At 43.2% G+C, this 18643-nt stretch overlaps 1 protein-coding gene across 3 annotated transcripts in view; it reads right to left on the bottom strand.

The window, feature by feature from the left end:
• The window catches only part of DDX25 (DEAD-box helicase 25), a 25516-nt gene extending 6886 nt beyond the window's left edge, over nucleotides 1-18630 (bottom strand). Inside the window, exons 1-11 of one of the 3 annotated variants that reach the window (NM_001330438.2) lie at nucleotides 18528-18630; nucleotides 16680-16746; nucleotides 16361-16405; nucleotides 15749-15884; nucleotides 13670-13762; nucleotides 13455-13557; nucleotides 11480-11594; nucleotides 10470-10647; nucleotides 4707-4944; nucleotides 3168-3330; nucleotides 579-767 (exon numbers count right to left, since the gene is read on the bottom strand). In NM_001330438.2, the coding sequence (NP_001317367.1) occupies nucleotides 579-767; nucleotides 3168-3330; nucleotides 4707-4944; nucleotides 10470-10647; nucleotides 11480-11594; nucleotides 13455-13557; nucleotides 13670-13731 (1048 nt within the window). In that variant the 5' untranslated portion in view covers nucleotides 13732-13762; nucleotides 15749-15884; nucleotides 16361-16405; nucleotides 16680-16746; nucleotides 18528-18630. Of the gene's footprint in view, nucleotides 1-570; nucleotides 768-3167; nucleotides 3331-4706; nucleotides 4945-10469; nucleotides 10648-11479; nucleotides 11595-13454; nucleotides 13558-13669; nucleotides 13763-15748; nucleotides 15885-16360; nucleotides 16406-16679; nucleotides 16747-17377; nucleotides 17451-18527 lie in introns of those variants that run through there. The other 2 variants (NM_013264.5, XM_047426849.1) reach the window with 2 other exon arrangements.

Here is an 18643-nt window from a genome sequence, read left to right as displayed (position 1 = left end):
CACAAGATGTGAAATTCTGACTCCAGAATGAGTTATAACATGTAAATCTGAGCTCAAATTTTATTTTTTTGAGACGCAGTCTCACTCTTTCGCCAGGCTGGAGTGCAGTTGTGCGACCTCAGCTCACTGCAACCTCCGCCTCCTGGGTTCAAGCGATTCTCCTGCCTCAGCCTCTCCAGCAGCTGAGACTACAGGCATGTGCCACCACGCCCAGCTAATTTTTGTATTGTTAGTAGAGATGGGGTTTTACCATGTTGGCCAGGATGGTCTGGATTTCCTGACCTCATGATCTGACCACCTCGGCCTCCCAAAGTGCTGGGATTACAGGTGTGAGCTGCCACACCCGGCCTGAGCTCATATTAATTCTGCTTGATCAAAATAATTTTTAATTACCATATAAGCATTATTTAATCATCTGTCTCATATTAGAACCCTGGTCCTGTGAATTAGAAGCCTTCCAGCTCATGCATTCTGCTTCTACTACTCTCATGAGCCCCTGGACTCCAGCTCTCCAGCACACATCATCACTGTCAGACCGGCAGGTCTGTAGTTCATATTGTGAGGGTGGTGCTACTTACTAAAGTGGTCCTGGATTTTCATGAGCGAGGGCAGCTCATCTACTTCAATCATGTTGAAGGCAAGGCCTTTTTTCCCAAAGCGCCCCGTCCGCCCTATGCGGTGGAGGTAGGTCTCATAGTCCGGCTCCTCTCCTTGTTTTACAGGGAGATCAAAGTTCACAACAATTGTGACCTGCTTCACATCAATCCCTAGAAGAGGAAAAACACTGTAGGGTCCTGCAATGCTTTCCTCAGTACACGGGCCATTCAAGTACCACGTCTGCCAAGGGAATTCCTATTTATAGAGAAAATTTAGAAATCCAACCAGGGCTTATGTAATTGAGACAGGTACTTTGGTTAGGAAGTTTGCTTGCATGCTGTGATGTCTATGATGCTAGATGAGCGTGTCCATAGAGAATGCTACAGAAATGTAAATATACACAAGGCGTGTGTGTGTGTGTGTGTGTGTGTGTGTGTGTGTATGTGTGTGTGTGGTGGAGAGGTGCCCTCACCAAGCCCACAGAGCCACCCTCTCCTCTCTGCTCCTGCTGTGCCAAGTCCCCAGCAGGCCCCATAGTCTCACACCCGCTTGCCCGTCATGGGGCTCTGGCTCTGCTCCGTTTCATGGCTACTGTCCTGGTCAGGTCTTTTGAGCCCTTGCCTCAGTGGTTACAACAACTTCCAGACTGGTTTCTCACCACTCTCTTCCCCTACTCCTCTCATCTCTCCTACGATGGTCACCACAGCAATGTCCAGCACACTTACGTTCAAAACCCACTGCCCAAATTGTACAGGAAAAGTACAAGCAATTCAAGACTGCAAGCCACCTCAAGTCTCATCTCTTTCTCTCCTGACTCTCAAATACAACACTCCAGTCAAGGTCTGGCCATTTCCTGAACAAACGTAAATTCTCATTCAACTGAACTGCTACCCTTCCTGCAAAACTTTTTTCTTTTTTTTTTTTGAGATGGAGTCTCGCTCTGTAACCCAGGTTGGAGTGCAGTGGCACGATCTTGGCTCACTGCAACCTCTGCCTCCCGGGTTCAAGCGATTCTCCTGTCTCAGCCTCCCGAGTAGCTGGGATTACAGGTGCCCATCACCATGGCTGGCTAATTTTTGTATTTTTAGTAGAGATGGGGTTTCACCATGTTGGTCAGGCTGGTCTTGAACTCCTGACCTTAAGCAATCCACCCGCCTCGGCCTCCCAAAGTGTTGGGATTACAGGCGTGAGCCACCGCACCCGCCCCTGCAAAACCCCTTTCAGATTGAAGGCTGCCTCGGAAGACTTCTGCACTTCCCCTCCCCACTGTACCTTCCTTCTCAACATTAACAAGCTGTCCGGGTCAGGATCCTTGCACTCCTTGTACTGTGCCTTGACCTGGAGCTCTCTGTGCCTTCCTTCCTCTAGGGTCTAGGGTTACGCTGTCCAATATGATAAATGTTAGCACCATGTGGCTATATTTCAATTAAATAAAATTAAAAATTCAGTTCCTCAATCACACTAGCCACATTTCAAGTGCTCAGGAGCTGATATGGCTAGTGGCTACCCACTGAAGAGCACAGAATAGAACATTTCCATCACTGCAGAAAGCTCTGTTGAATAGTGCCAGTGTAGAGAGGCAAGAGCCTAGGCTGTGAGCTCTTAAGGGATAGAGACATCATCCTTTTTTCAGGATACCTTTCCCAAGAGCAGAGTCAGCATCCACTCCTAGCATGGCAGGTTGTCAGTTCTGTGTGCTAAACTAAGAATGAACTAGGAAATGTGGTATGAGTATGGGGTGCAAGCAATGATTTAGGAGGGATGAAGAAAGCCGGAAGGCCCTTCTCTTGAAAAAAAAAAAAAAAAAGGATTTTTTTCACCAGTAGTCAACACTTTTAAGATGAGAAACTCCAGAGAGATGCTCAACATCATTAGTTATCAGAGAAGTGCAACTTAAAACCACAATGAGATCCCAGTATACAGCCACTAGAATGGTTAAAATTAAGAGTGACGTTAGCAATTGCTGGCAAGAATGCAGAGCAACTGGAAGAGTTTTACAGCTTCTTATAAAGCTAAACGCACACCTATCATAGGGCCCAACAACCCCACTCTTAGATATTTACCCAAGAGAAATGAAAGCATATCTCTAAATACAGACCTGCACATGAATTTTTGTTACTGCCTTGTTAAATATAGCCACAAACTGAAAGCAGTCCAAATGTCCATCAACTGGTGGACAGACGAACTGTCAATAGAATACTATCAGCAATGAAAAGGAAATGAACTGCTGGTGCATGGAACAATACTAATGAAATTCATTAGTATTATTACGAGCATTATGTCAGGTGGAGGAAGTTACACAAAGGCTATATACAGTATGATTTGATTCTGTGTCTCCAAAAATATGGAGACAGAAATCTGATCAGTAGTTGCCAGGGGCCATGGGATGGAAAGGGAGATTGGCTGAAAAGGAGTGTGAGGAAACTGGGGAGATGGAGATGCTCTGTATTTTGATGACAGTGATAGCTGCATGATTGCATGTTTGTCGAAACTCGCGAAACTGTACACTTAAAAGGAATGCATTTTATCATATGCAAATTAGAACTCAAGACCTGACTTTTAACACACACCTCGGGCACAAACATTAGTTGTTATGAGAACCTTCTCTTTCCCATCCCGAAACCTCTGAATGATGGAAGCTCGCTGCTCCACGGTCAGCTCCCCGCTTAACAAAGACACCTGGTGGCCATCCTGTATCATCTCCACGGTCAACCACTTAGCGTTTCGACGAGTCTATGTAAAAAGGCAAAACCCAACACAGCACCCCAAGATTAAGCAAAGCAGCCTAGCTGTGCTTGTGACACCATGCATGCAGGGCGGGGGTGGGAGAGGGCTGCAGAGGAGTTGAGCTTCACCTCTCCCTCAGTCCTCCAGGGCCTTAAAATGTGGCAGGGCATCCTCCCTCCGCCTGTGTTTCTAAGGCTCACATCCTCTCCACCAGTCAGACCTCTGGCTTTCTCACGCATGAAATGGAGATAAATGTGCTACATCTGCCTCACAGGTGCTATGATGACAAAATGATATCATGTAACAATGGCAACAACAGACACTCTAAGAGTGCTTGCTTCCCATGTGCCAGGCATCTGGCTGAAATCTTTATGTGCATTATGGTAAGGGTCATGTGTTTTCACAACAAATTAATGAAGTAGCAACCTAATTTCATTTAAAAAATTAAAAACAGGCCAGGTGCGGTGGCTCACACCTGTAATCCCAGCACTTTGGGAGGCCAAGGCGGGTGGATCACCTGAGGTCGGGAGTTCGAGACCAGCCTGGCCAGCATGGTGAAACCCCGTCTCTACTAAAAAAATACAAAAATTAGCCAGGTGTGGTGGCAGGCGCCTGTAGTCTCAGCTACTCGGGAAGCTGAGGCAGGAGAATTGCTTGAACCCAGGAGGCGGAGATTGCAGTGAGCTGAGATCATGCCATTGCACTCCAGCCTGGGCAACAGAGCGAGACTCTGTCACAAAAAAATAAAAAATAAAACAAATTAAAAATTAAAAACAGACAAAACTCCCAAAGCTTAAAAATGTTATGTAACTTGCCCAAGGTTGCATGGTTAGCCAGTGGCAGAGCTGAGCTTTCTTTTATTCTACACATATGTTTTTGGTGCTGTCCATGTGCCAGATAGGTGCTGGTCTAGTGCAGTGGATATGGGAGTGAATGAGAGAGAGGAGACCCTGCTGTCGTGAAGCTTAAAGTGTTTACGGGGTAGTGAGAAAATAAAACAGATGAACATGAGAATGTCAGAAAGCAAAAAACAAACATAAAAACGGGGTTTTGTTAATAGTGAATAACATCCTTCACCTGATAAAGGGTATCTGTACAAGGTACAATAAACATAAGCTGAAATGGGGAAGTGTTAGAAGCAGTCCCTCTAAAAGAAGGCCCTGTGTTTAACATCACTTTGAAGATCCTATTCCATTACTTAACCTTTTTACATTTCACCCATAAAATACAGGTAATTTCTGTTTAGAGCTGTTCTGAAGATTAAACTGGAGACACACAAGAAGTGCTGAACATGGTGCCTGGCTCTAGGGCACTTATTGTCGTCCCCCACCTCGGCCTGTAGGCATATCTGGGCTCGATGAAGACACATCCACAGAGTGTACCTGGCAGAAGATGATGGCCTGACCAATGGTGATGCTGCCATAAATGTTGCACAGAGCTTGGTATTTGTCTTTCCTGTGCTCACACAGCACGTAATATTGCCGGATGTTGTTCAGTGTGAGCTCCTCTTTGCGTAACTTGATAACATTAGGGTCAGGGATGATTCGCTCAGCAAAGTGCCACACAGAGTCCTCAAAGGTTGCTGAAAAGAGGAGCATTTGGCATTCGGAGGGTAGAGCTCTGTGATAGAGGAGAGAAGGCTGTCACCAAGCTGCCATCCCATCACTCTTCTTCAAGCACTTCATGCCACTGCCATCAGCCGCTGCACGCACCCCTGTTCCACGTGAGGTGCTGCCTGCAATGACCAGCTGTATCTCCAGGCAGATAGCCAAGGTCCTGCCCCTCCTTGCCACCAAGAATTTAGAAAAGTATATAAACAGAATGTGAAGCATAGGGCAAAGTTTAGGTATATATTCTGGAGGTTCTGAGATTTCTCATGCCAACTTCCTCCTTAGGAGAGGCAGACTCACGCAGCCACAAGAAGGGTAGACTAGATGCTCTTTATAGTTATAATCTCACACAAAGGTAAATGGAGATGAAGGAAACAGAGCCAGTTATTTGACAGCAGGCATTATATATCTTGGGAGGGAAAGAACAACCACAACTAACTTGATTCAGAATGGGAAGAACTAGATACAAATTAAAGGGGAGCAACAGGGGAAAGTACAGTGACTGAAATGTACCCATTCTGAACCCAGAATGAATACAGGGCTGATTCACATAAAGTTAAAAAACAGGTGAAATAAATCTGCGGAGTTAGCAGTTAGGATAGAGGCTAATCCTTGGGAAAAGAGAGGGACCAGTGAGCAGAAAGGGGTTATTAAGAAAATTCTAGGGTGCTGGTAAAATTTTATTCCTTCATCTGGGCTGCTGTTACAAGAGCATGGCTTCTTGTGATAAATCACTCAATGGTACACTTATCATTGGTGTATTTCTCTGTATATATTTCATATATCAATAAAAAGTTAACTTTTTAAAACAAAATAAATGAGAGAGACCAGAGGGAAATCGGCTCTTTTGAGAAGGAGACAGAGCACTTTGAGGAATAAACTGTTAGTGCTAAAAGAGAGTGAAAGAGACCATATAGTCCAGTGATTCTCAAACTCAATTTTAAGCCTAGGGTCTCGATCATCAAACAACAATCCGATAGACCTCTGGTCAATGATGTCAGACCGTCTACCTGTGTTATCTTCTTAGCTGCCCAAATCCCACTAATGTGATCATAAAGAGATAAAAAGAATCCACGGAAAATGTGGAGAATGGGAGAGAAGAAACTGGTGGATAAGTTATCTAAATACATTTTTGGAAGACGGAAGGGGTGGTAAATGAGAAAGTGGATGAAGCTACACCATGAGCACTGCAGAACACAGAGTTGATGAAAACGCAGCTAACTGTTCCCTCAGAACCACCGGGAGGTCTAGGAGCTGTGAGCTACAGGAACCAGAGAATCAGGGGGAAAGAACTGAAAACAGGACATATGTTAGAAAACATGAGGAAAACTCTGCATTCCACATGCTAGAGCCTCTTGGCCACCTGCTGGGTCACAATCCTGCATCTGGAGAAAGATGGCACAAGGATTTATATCCTAAGGCTTGGGCCATTTTGCTGGGATAAATATTGTGGAGAAGTAGTCTCGTTTGAAGCTTAGTGAAAGTTTAAGAGTTTGGATTGTTACTCACAAAGAAAAAATGTATATAATACATAAGGAAAGAAAACCATGGCTGTTCTGTAGAACACACTGGATTTTGAAGACTTAGTATGAAAAAAGAATGTAAAATATGTCACTAATAATTTTTATATTGATTAACTTGTTGAAGAGATATTTTGATACAATGGGTTAAATAACATATATTTATTAATTTCATCTCTTTCTTTTTGGATGTGGCTATTAGAAAATTTAAAATTATACATGTGGCTTGTATTAAGTTTCTGTTGGACATCACTGGTTTAACCTGTTTTAAGCAAATGGAAGGAAGACTATAACAATGGACGGCTGATCAACCAACATAAATGCTCTATCTAATTATTACTTAATATTCTCTTGAGTATAAAATAAAAGAGACTTTCTTAGAAAGCCCTTTTTGGGGCCACGCATGGTGGCTCACACCTGTAATCCCAGCACTTTGGGAGCCTGAGGCGGGTGGATCACTTGAGGCCAGGAACTTGAGACCTGGCCTTGAACTTAATGTCACCCGGATATCCAGGCTTTTGTTTATGACCATTTTTTGGTCATAAACAAACTAGCCAACATGGAGAAACCCCATCTTTACTAAAAGTACAAAAATTAGCTGGGTGTGGTGGCACGTGCCTGTGATCCCAGCTACAGCTACTCTTGAGGCTGAGGCAGGAGAACTGCTTGAACCCAGGAGGCAAAGGTTGCAGTAAGCCAAGGTGGCGCCACTGCACTCCAGCCTGGGTGACACAGTGAGACTCCATCTCAGAAAAAAAGAAAGCCCTTTTTCACTACTAAATATTTCCTGGAGTTCTGAATTTTTCATTTGCTATTATATAAAACAAACCAACTTATTGGTAAGAGGATGACAAGAAGGGAACCTCTTTTGATCTCTGCTGAAAATTATTTTAAATAGGAAGGCTGAGGCAGAAAATACGTATAAGGAGCAGGTGGATCCCCCTACTTTAGGTAGCTAGGCCTGTGGAAGCAGAAGATTAGATGTTTATTCTGTGCAGAAATTCCAGATTTGGGGATACAAGCCTTAGTAGAAAGTGGAGGCAAAACATATGGCTGAAAAGAGGAGATCAAGTGAAAATATGCATACCGAATGGGACGGCCCTCTCAGCCTGTTCCCCTGCCTTGCTCCCAGAATGTCAGCAACCAAGGGTCTATCCCCCAGAAAAGAGAACAGAGACATTACATAGTCCTAAAGACCTCCAGATGACAATCGTCACACAGTAGGACTTCCCAAGTGGCAGCCCCAGCCATGCACACAGAGCTGTCCGTTGGAATTGTAGCTTCTCACCCTAGATCATGAAAGGCTAGCCAAGTGTCACCACATATAAAGAGGAACGTTCTGCTGTGAAAGAGGCTGTAGCAAACAAAAAGGAAACTTGGATAATTCACAATGTTAAAACAGAAAAAATTTTTAAATACTAGAATTAATGTTCTCAGAGAGACAACTGAAGATACTGCATCTGTAATGCAAGAAGAGGAAGCTCTATAAAAAAAAATCAGAGACCACCACCAGTGTGATTGAGACAGACAGAAACGGAATGCTCAATGACTGTGTTATTTTAATGACAAATGGAAGGAAACACACAACAAAATAATAACCCTGTGTATGATTATTTCTTCTATTTTATATCATTTTTTTTTTTGGATTGTTATGATTGTGTCCCAGATGGGCTCTCTAAAAAGTTGGTCACTTTGGGGAAAGAGATAACTGAAGAAATTTTCCCAGAAGTGGCAGGCCCAGGTTTTGAGAATGAAAGGGTGCAGTATGTGTCTAGTATGATGAATGAAAAAAGACCTGAACCAAAGTATGTCACTGAAAAGTTTCAGAATACCATAAAGAAAGAAGACTCCAAAGGCTTCTCGCGAGAGAAAAAAAAAAGGTCATAAACAAAAGCTTGGAGATCAGGGTGACATTAAACTTTTCAGTAACAACAGTGGAAGCTGAGGATATTAATTATATATTGAAGTTATTTTTAAAAACTTTTCTGTTTTCAACATTTCTCTGAATTTAGAGAGAGAATGACACAGGATTCCTATCCGGGCAAACTATTAGTCAAAAGATCAAATTTACAGGTACAATAAGGACATCTTCAGACATGTAAGGGCTGAAAAATGAATCTCTTTTATATTGTTTTTCAGGAAGGCATTAGAAAATATACTCCAGCATACTGAGGAAGTACTCCAAGAAAAACGACCCAAGATATAGGAGATTTAAAACTTAAGTGAGCAAAGGAAAGACCCATGATGACAGCTGTACAGCAGATCTACCAGACTGAAGCTGGAGAGAGGGAGCTTGGAATATTGGCAGGAAAAAAGAGAAATGGATGGTTTTTTTTTTTTTTTTTTGAAATGGAGTCTTGCTCTGTCACCCAGGCTGTAGTGCAGTGGCGTGATCTCGGCTCACTGCAAGCTCCGCCTCCCGGGTTCACGCCATTCTCCTGCCTCAGCCTCCCAAGTAGCTGGGACTACAGGCGTCTGCCACCATGCCCAGCTAATTTTTTTGTATTTTTAGTAGAGATGGGGTTTCACCGTGTTAGCCAGGATGGTCTCGATCTCCTGGCCTTGTGATCCACCCGTCTCGGCCTCCCAAAGTGCTGGGACTACTGGCGTGAGCCACCGTGCCCAGCTGAGAAATGGATGGATTTTTAAATTTTATTTTACTATTTGGAGATATCACAGACATATGACACATACGATAGAATAGCTAAGGGAAAATTAAAGATCCTTACACAGTGATACTAACAAAATGAAAAAAAAAAAGCAAAAGCAATGATTACTTCTAGAAGAAAAAGCTTTACAAGAAAAACAGCCCTTTATATTAGTGCCATCTGTATCTGTGGGCTCTGCATCTGTGGATTCAAACAACTGTGGATCAAAAATATTTGGAAAAAATTGTGCTTGTACCGAATGTATATGGACTTTTTTCTTGTCATTATAAATAATCTAGAAATGATTTAAAGTACACAAGAGGATGTGTATAAGTTACATGCAAATACTACAACATTTTACATCAGGGACTTGAACATCCACAGATTTTGGCACGTGCAAGGGGTCCTGGAACCAATCCCTTGTGGATACGGAGGGGCAACTGTAATTATAATAATACGCTGTTTGGCTCAGCAGTGAACAATACTTACACTGTCACATGATATCAATACTGACAGTTACTGTAACCTAATTCATGACATAATTACAGAGAGGTAATGGGGGGATAGGAAAGGTAGAATGGGTGGTGTTTTCAAAGAACTCAATTCCCACTTCCTATAATGGGAAATCAGTTGACAATGACTATACATCAGGAAACAGCAGTATGAAAATATTATTTACAAGTATGAAGGTTAATATCAGAAAAGAGAAGTATTCTCTTCAGGTTGGAGCAAGGGGTTACTGTTTTTCATTACAAGTCTTTCAATACTAATTGAATTTAACATTGAGTATGTAATACTTCATTAAAAAATACGTGATACAGATTCCTAAATCCCACTTACAGAAACTCTCATTCAGTAAGTCTGAGGCTGCGTCCGGTAATCTGTAGTTTTAAATCCCTCAGGTGATCCTGATAGAGAGGCCTAGGAAAATGACACGGCTTTTTACAAATTAGGGGGAAAGTCAGGACTAGATTACCAGTCTCCTGATCCCACATTACTGTGTCCTCTACTCTATCTCAATTATCCATTGTATTCTCACTAGGCTTTAACAGATCCTCTTTAGAATTTTGGCCAAAATATAGAACATATTGGCAAATTTGGTGCAGATGCACTATATATTAATAGAGTCCATCTGTAAGCTGTGTTGCAAAGTAAAGCACTCAGGCAAGATTACAAACTGAAGAAGCTGGAAAACTATAGCAGTCTGAGGGACCCTTGAACTGGTGAAAATAATGTAAAAACTCAAATTTATTTTAGAGGTGAAGGTGGTGAGGAGTTAAGCAATAAAGATAATGTGGAGGAGTAAACAAATGAAATTCCCCATCTGGACAGAAGGCTGAGGAAGAGAGGAAGACTCTGAAGATTACCTTTGAATACGAATACTATGATCTGAGAATCCTTGAGTGTCAATCATCACATCTGCTTCATCCAGGACAAACACACGAATCTTAGTCAAATCAATCAATTTTAGTTTAAAACACCAATCTAGGACAGTCCCAGGAGTGCCAATTATAATCTGTTTAGTGATGTCGGTGCCTCTGGGAACTGGGGAGAAAAGGGTTTTAAGCACTCCTTCAGATGCAAACAACTCCAACAGGTCACAGTTCAGGGCAGTGCAATATAAAGCTCATAAGCAAAAATACAGTTTGTAATAATTTTCCAAGTGGAAACCCCGAGGGTCATTGTGGTTTTTGATTCTGCAGAATTTTTAGGATAAATTTCTGACTTTTTCTTAACTGTGAAAAATGGCACTTCCCCAAACAGAAAACAACCAAAATGTCCATCAATAGGTTACATTAAATAAATCATGAAATATTGGGCAGCTAGTCAAAGGAACAAACAGTATGAAAAAAAGTCCTTCTATTTTTGTAAACACTCAGTGAAAACAAATATAAATATGGGCATTTGTATGTGCATGTATGAGCTCAAAAAAAAAAAAAGCAAAACACAAAGGCTTGCCTGTTTACTATGTGATCTTTGGCATTACGTTTCTGGAAGGCAATGAAGAACAACTTTCACTTTTAATCTTTTTGTCTTTTAAAGTTTTTTCCCCATTATAAGCTTATAATATTTTAACGAAAAATCCAAAAATAAAAGCTGTCCTGCACAAAACAACCAAGTGTTGAATTACGGACAAAGGCATCCTCTTGCAGGATGTGGAAATGATGTGGCTAACATTTAGTGGGTCCTTACTACGTGCCAGGCATTGTGTACAATGCTTTACCAACGTCATCTCAATTCTAATAACAACTCTATGACATGAGTGGTATTATTTCCCCCATTTAGAGATGAGAATGCCAAGAAGTTATATAAAATGCTTATTCGTGGTGAAGCCAGGATTTGAAAAATCAGCCAGGACTGGCTTACTGGTACATACTTCGATTCCCTCGAATGGCATACATCACTTGAACATCCACACAGAATTTTCCCATCTGCTCAACCACACGGCCAGTTTGCAGAGCCAATTCATAAGTAGGAGCTAGGCAGAGGCACTGTGGGATAGAGAGAGAAGAGGGGAGGAGAAAGGTTCTTACAGGCATCTTTCAAATTTCAACTGCAATAAAAATTTGTACAGGGAGAGGCACAGAAAGGAAATTGAAGGTTTTGGTTGAATGAAATATTTTTAATTGGATACAGTTTAATAGTTGACAGATTTGAGGTGAATGTTGAGTATGAGAAGGGGAAGGGGCCAAGGAATGGAGAAACAGCTACCTTTTACATATTCCTCTCTAAAGGGTTATTTAGAAACACAAGTTACTAGTCACCCTTTTTGGAGTGGGGGAGGCATAGGAGGGGGAAGAATGGGATGTAGGGAAGCTGGGAATCAATGAATGCGAGGCAAATTACAGTTCGAGCTCTATCCCATAGCCTCTCATTTGCTATTAAAAGTCTGTCTATTTTTGAGGTTGGGCACGGTGGCTCACACCTGTAATCCCAGCACTTTGGGAGGCTGAGGTGGGCGGATCACCTGAAGTCAGGAGTTTGAGGCCAGCCTGGCCAAAATGGCAAAACACCACCTCTACTACAAATACAAAAAAATTAGCCAGGCGTGATGGCGGGTGCCTGTAATCCCAGCTACTTGGGAGGCTGAGGCAGGAGACTCACTTGAACCCGGGGGGGCAAAGGTTGCAGTGAGCCAAGATCATGCCACTGCACTCCAGCCTAGTTGACAGGGTGAGACTCCATGTCAAAAAAAAAAAAAAAGACTGCCTATTTCGGGAACACTCCTTGCTTGATCCAATCTGTTTATATTATCTATATCTTTACAATACATAATATGATATATATAACATAATATAATACATAATAGGCAGAATATTCCCCCAAACTCTGTTATTCCATACTCCATAAAAATGGTGGTTGCTGATGAATAAAGATGCTGATGGAAAAAAACGGTAATATCTAATGCACTTATATGTGTCAATTAGGAATCTGTGATAGGGAAACATAGCCAAAGGGCTAAAAATATCTTTCCCACACATTTTTCAAAATGTGCTCCAACATAACTTATCCTACATAATTTTTATTGATAATATCAAACCCTAAACATAAATTTCACTGAACTTGTCTAAAATGCGTAAGATTTCCTATGCCTTACCTATAGCTGACCTGGCTGATCAGAGTGGAAGCTTACTGAGAGAGCCTTGGTATTCCCCACAGCACTTAATGCATATGGGTACTCAGCTTGTCAAGCAAATAGGGAGAGACGACCAGATACTTTTCATGAGTGGAAACTACACTAGGAGAATGGTAAACCGGGTACCAGTGCCAGTCTTGACTCAGCCACTCTCTGGGGACCTCAAGAAAGACACTTCCCTCTCCAAGCATCAGCCTCCTCCTCTGCTAGAGTGAGGTGGACTACCTGACCTTCTGGTCCTGCAGTTAGATGGCTATAATTATTGCATGCTTAATTTATGCCAGGCACTGTGCTAAAAACGTAAATTACTTCATTAAATCCACATGATGACTTTATTCAATGTTTAATGAGTGGTTTCTACAAGCCAGGCACTGTGCTAGGTATTAGGATTTAAGGGTGAACAGATCAACTATGATACATTCCTTTACAGATGCTATCTTTACAGACAAGGATTAACAGACTCAGATTTATTAACTTGCCTAAGACATTCAGTTAGTAAGTGGGAGGCTAGCATTGAAACCACTCAAGACTATAAAGCCTGTCCTCTCCATCACTGTCCCATGCTGCTACCCAATGCTCTATGATTTTATGAAAACATGTCTTTTCTAAATATTTCATCACCATAGTAACCATATCATTGCACAGGAATATCACCTATTACTAAATTAGCACTGGTAGTGCAAGCATTCCCAGTCTTCTCTCAGCCTTCCCTTACCTGTGGGAACAATTCCAAGGCATTAACTCTGCTTAACATTGCCAACACAAATGCCGCTGTCTTTCCTGTTCCAGACTGGCTCTGTGCTATGAGGTTCTGGGGTCTGTAGAAAAGAGAAGACCACTGGGCATAAACTGAATACAAGAGAGTGGGCATAAACTGAAAATAAGAAACTAAACATAACCAAGTAGAATACCACTACCCTGGAAACTCACGGATGTGCCAGCATCATAGGGAGAGCCATCTCTTGGATTTTAGATGGCCTATTAAATCCCATTGCATAGATTCCTTTTAGTAACTCTTCCTTTCTGTCAAAAAAAAAAATCAAACACTTACAGATTATAGTTGGTCAGTAGCATCAGAAATACATACCTGAAAGGTGCATTTCTAAATTAAGTCACTTTGCAGCTGAGCTTTAAAACTAGTATTTGGAGATAGATCATTCATACCTCAACTTCCAAACATAAACAATCATGCCTGTAGAGCTGGACCACTAAAATAATAAGCTACGCCATAAGCCTAGGCGAAGGACAGTGGTAAAGGCCTTAAGTCAAACCTTCTGTTGAACAAAGCAAAAATGGAAAAACTCATCGCATAAAAAGAATATATCTGCTTGCCAAGAGAGTTATATTTTCTGCCTAAGCAGAAAACTAAGTGACATTTACTGTTTTGTTCCTTTTCACGAACGATATTGACATTTTTAACAGTAATTTTCAGAGAAGACAAATTTTTATTTAGGTGATTCTTATATTAGTTCTTTCTAGGAGTAGAAGACACAATATTACTCCATCCTTCTGAGGCAATATTTTAAAATGCAGCTTTCCTGAGGGTCTTAAGAAAAATGCCAGAATGAGGATAAATCAAGTGGACTACAACACTTCAACTTTTTTTTTTTTGAGACGGAGTCTTGCTCTGTCGCCCAGGCTGGAGTGCAGTGGCGCGACCTCAGCTCACTGCAAGCTCCACCTCCCGGGTTCACGCCATTCTCCTGCCTCAGCCTCCCGAGTAGCTAGGACTACAGGCGCCCGCCACCACACCTGGCTAATTTTTTGTATTTTTAGTAGAGACGGGGTTTCACTGTGTTAGCCAGGATGGTCTCGATCTCCTGACCTCGTGATCCGCCCCCCTTGGCCTCCCAAAGTGCTGGGATTACAGGCGTGAGCCACCGCGCCCGGCCAACACTTCAACTTTTAATGACATGCACATTTGTGTGTGCTTAATTGGTAGAGGACTGGTAGCCCATCTTAAATCATGGGTAGGCTTCTTCTACCATTTAGAAAATGTCTGGGAACTAGGATTTTGGATTTTTACCCTTTACATAAGTAGGTTTCAGTGCTTTTCTCGTTCTGTAAAAATACATTTTTTAGCGTCAAATGATAAATCCCTAGGGAATGCAAACCCATTTGGGAAAGTTATTCAGTTTAATATCATTTGAAACAAAATATAATCAGGAAAGTAAAAGTTTGTGACTTATCTATAGTGGGTGAAGGAGGATGTCTGGGTCATCAGAATCTGGGTTCTGATATGGAGAGGGGCAATCTGGCTGTGCCTAGCTTAGCTATCTATCCCCCTGAGCACTGCAGGATGAAAATATCTTACTATCAAAAATGTTCTCAATTTGCCAGGCAACTTGAGTATCCTAATGTTCTTCTTTAGAATATCCTTTTTTTTTTTTTTTTTGAGACGGAGTCTCACTCTGTCACCCAGGCTTGGAGTGCAATGGTGTCTCGGCTCACTGCAACCTCTGCCTCCTGGGTTCAGGCGATTCTCCTACCTCAGCCTCCCGAATAGCTGGGATTACAGGTGCGCGCCACCATGCCCGGCTACTTTTTGTATTTTTAGTGGAGAGGGGGTTTTCCCATGTCGGCCAGGCTGGTCTCAAGCTCCTGACCCTCGGGCGATCTGCCCTCCTCAGCTCCCAAGTGTTGGGATTATAGGAATGAGCCACTGTGCCTGGCCTGAGCTATATTTTGATTGCATGGAAAATGTACAAATCTCACTTTAATACTGAATATTAAAAATTAACTGGGCGTGGTGGTGCATGCCTGTAGTCCCAGCTACTCGGGAGGCTGAGGCAGGAGAATCGCTTGAACCTGTAAGGTAGAGCAGTGAGCCGAGATCGTATCACTGCACTCCAGCCTGGGGGACAGAGTGAGACTCTGTCTCAAATAACAAAAAAAAATATTGAATATCAGAAAACAAAGAGGAGATCCTGATGGTTTTTACTATAAGCAGATGCGTTTGTTCTGTGGTTTTCAGCATTTTTCCCATATTAAAAGAGTAAAAATACTCACAGCCGCAGCTCTTCAAATGTCTTTACTGAGTAAAGTGGAGAGCTGGGATCCTTCTGTAAAACTTCCACACGGTGACTGGATTCTACTAAGGATTGATGGATTAACTTGTTTAAGAGTGAATTAGCTGCCAAATCCACTAGAAAAGCAAAAATAAAAAAGAGGACATCAAGCTTCCTGAATGACATCAAATAAGTTGCTCTTTCTCTTTCAGTGGTTGTATACCAAGCAATTGCACCTACGCTCATTTTTCCTCTAAAAGAGGGTTCCAGAAAGAATGATATAGCACTGAGGATTCGTTCTTTATGAGGATTCAGTTTCTTACGCTCTGTTACTTCACCATCCTCTAACTTCAAAGTAGCCTAAGTCCATCTCCATGAGACCAAATCCTTGACAGATGGAAGTTCTGAACCCAATCCCTGCATATTCCATTTCAACTTCCTTTAAATAAATACACCTTACTCCTAATTTAGTGTGTCTCCTGATAGTCACTATAAGAAAACAGAAGCAAAGACAGGCCTTTTCCAATTGAGATTATATTATTCACTCACACTATTAAAGTTATAAACGGAAACAGAATGCTAGTAGATACATGCAAATGAATTCATCTCCTACCTACATCTTCTTCATCATCTTCATTGATGTTATTAATAGAACCATCTGGAAAGGATGGAAGAGAAACAATACAAGTAAAGACAAATGCTGAGCACAAATGTAAAGCATGCTATTCAATTTTTTCTTCCTGACTCTTCAGTGTCTACTGGCAAGAAGAGTCATTTCATGGAGGAATGGACGAAACGATTGGGAAGGTAATGGAGAGTGCTGAATGTCACACTAATGAATCCGCGGTGTTTCACTTGGCAGGGACGTGATGAAAGCAAAACAATACTTTTTAATCATTGAGGTCGCTCTGCTTTGCCCTAACAGCACTCACCTATGTTTCGGACTGCAGTACTCTTAATACCCCAAAGGTTCTTCCGGGGTTGGCTGAGGTTTGAAAACTATTGAGAGACACAAATTTCAACCAATATTAGGATGCAAGCCCTCAAGCAGCCCAGTGCTTCCCTACCACAGGGGCTGGGAGGGATTCAGGGAAGGACACCCGGGTATTGCTTCCTTTGCAATATTAGGTAGCAGCAGATTCCTTTCAAGGTTGGGTTTCCTGTATGAGTTACCCTAAAATTGGAGATTTTCTGTATTCCCTGTACATGCAGTTTCTCTTTCCTAGGCCTCTAGTTTAGAGTTGGGCAGTACTTGGGGCTCACGGCACCAACAAGGGGAGGGTGGCTAGGAAAGTGCGCTGGCAAATGGATGGAAGCGAGGTGAGGCTTAATGGGCAAATGGGCAGAGTAGAAAACTCGGGGTCTAGCTGGGACTACCAGCTGCGTTCCCACCCTGGATTTCCAGGGGTCGTCATTTTTGCCCTTTCTAACCAAAGGTCTTGCCTCTCGTGGGGGTGGGGACGGGGTCTCCCTCTGTGGCCCTCTTCCAAACCCTTCCCGCATCTCCCCTCCAGCATCTGACGCCCCACTTCGAACGCTCGCGGGCTCTCCCTCCCCTCCCAGCCGATCTCCCTCTGCGAGTGGGAGCTCCACCCCCGCGGCTGTGGCCCCCCGGCTCGGTGGCGGTTACGTGGCTGTTCAGCCGCTCGCTCTCCGCCGCCCCTGCGTCGCCTCCCCACAGTAACGACGCCATGGCTGCGATTGCTGCTCCCGCCCCCAGCACGTGCTTCCACCACCGGCGCGAGGCGGTGCTGGCCCCATCCGCTGGCCAATGGGCTTCCTTAGGGGGCAGGCGTCCGCGTCCGCGCCCGCGACCACCGCGGTGCGGCGCGCAGGCGCTGGAAGGCTGGGTGGCGCGCGGAAGGGGCGGAGGGCAGAGAGCGGGGCGGGGGGCAGAGAGCGGGGCGGAGGGCAGAGAGCGGGGCGGAGGGCAGAGAGCGGGGCGAAAGGGCGCGGACCGGAGGGCAGAGGGGGCAGCTTCCGCAGAGTGGAGAGCGCCCCCCGCGCCGCCCCGCGGCCCGCCGCTCACACAGCCCTCCAGGCGGGAGCCCCCCGGACTCCCCGCCGCGCTTTACGCCCCGTGTCGGTTTCCCTGGAAATTTCCGCCTCCACATCACAAGATGTCAGAAAGGTTAGCGAATTGGTTAGCAAAGTGGAGACAAAATCTGATGAATTTGATATGACGAATGACCTCGAATGCCACAGTTGCGGAAAGGAAGCAGAACTGTTCAAGCTCTAACTGCTGTTCCTGCCCTAGATACCTGTGATGTTCCACATAGGCTTTTTAAAGCTTTTATTCTGAAATGTGGTCTCTTGTTAAAAACATTACCTTTCGGTATAACCTCTACGTCCTACATGCGTTTGCATAATCCGGTATAGATCCCTGGATCCCTGGTACTAATGATTTAATGACCGCTCAATTTGGACGAAAGAACCAAATTCCACCTCCCCCCCGCCCCCCAGTTTTCTAATTGTAATTTTGAGATTTTGATCAGCATTTCTGGAATTGGGGGCAAAAATACAAAAACCCACACGAAACTGCAGTCATGATCTCTCCGTGGTGCTGAAGCAACGCTCCCCGCTCTGTTCGGTCACTCTCAGGGCACCTAGTCGTTTGTTTTGAGATTATCATATTCATTTCAGCTTTTAATTTGAATTCTAATAGTAAATGTTTTTGTCTCTCAATGGTAACTTTCTTCTCATTTAACTAGGTATAAAATCGAGCCAAGATCTTCAATCTTTTAGTTTTCGTATAAGGATAGCAGAATTTGAAAAATTACCTTTTTTCTATTATTTTAGCGTAGCACTACAATTCCTCCTTTTATTGCTGTCCCGCCACAGGCCCAGATTCTGCCCTGTGGGCGGAGAAACGGTAGCTGGACTAGAAAACCTCAGG

This window comes from Homo sapiens, chromosome 11 (assembly GCF_000001405.40).
Source record: "Homo sapiens chromosome 11, GRCh38.p14 Primary Assembly".
In the NCBI taxonomy this organism is placed as follows: domain Eukaryota; kingdom Metazoa; phylum Chordata; class Mammalia; order Primates; family Hominidae; genus Homo; species Homo sapiens.
The sequence above is the reverse complement of the archived record's forward strand: the minus strand, read 5'-3'. Positions and strand labels throughout refer to the sequence as shown.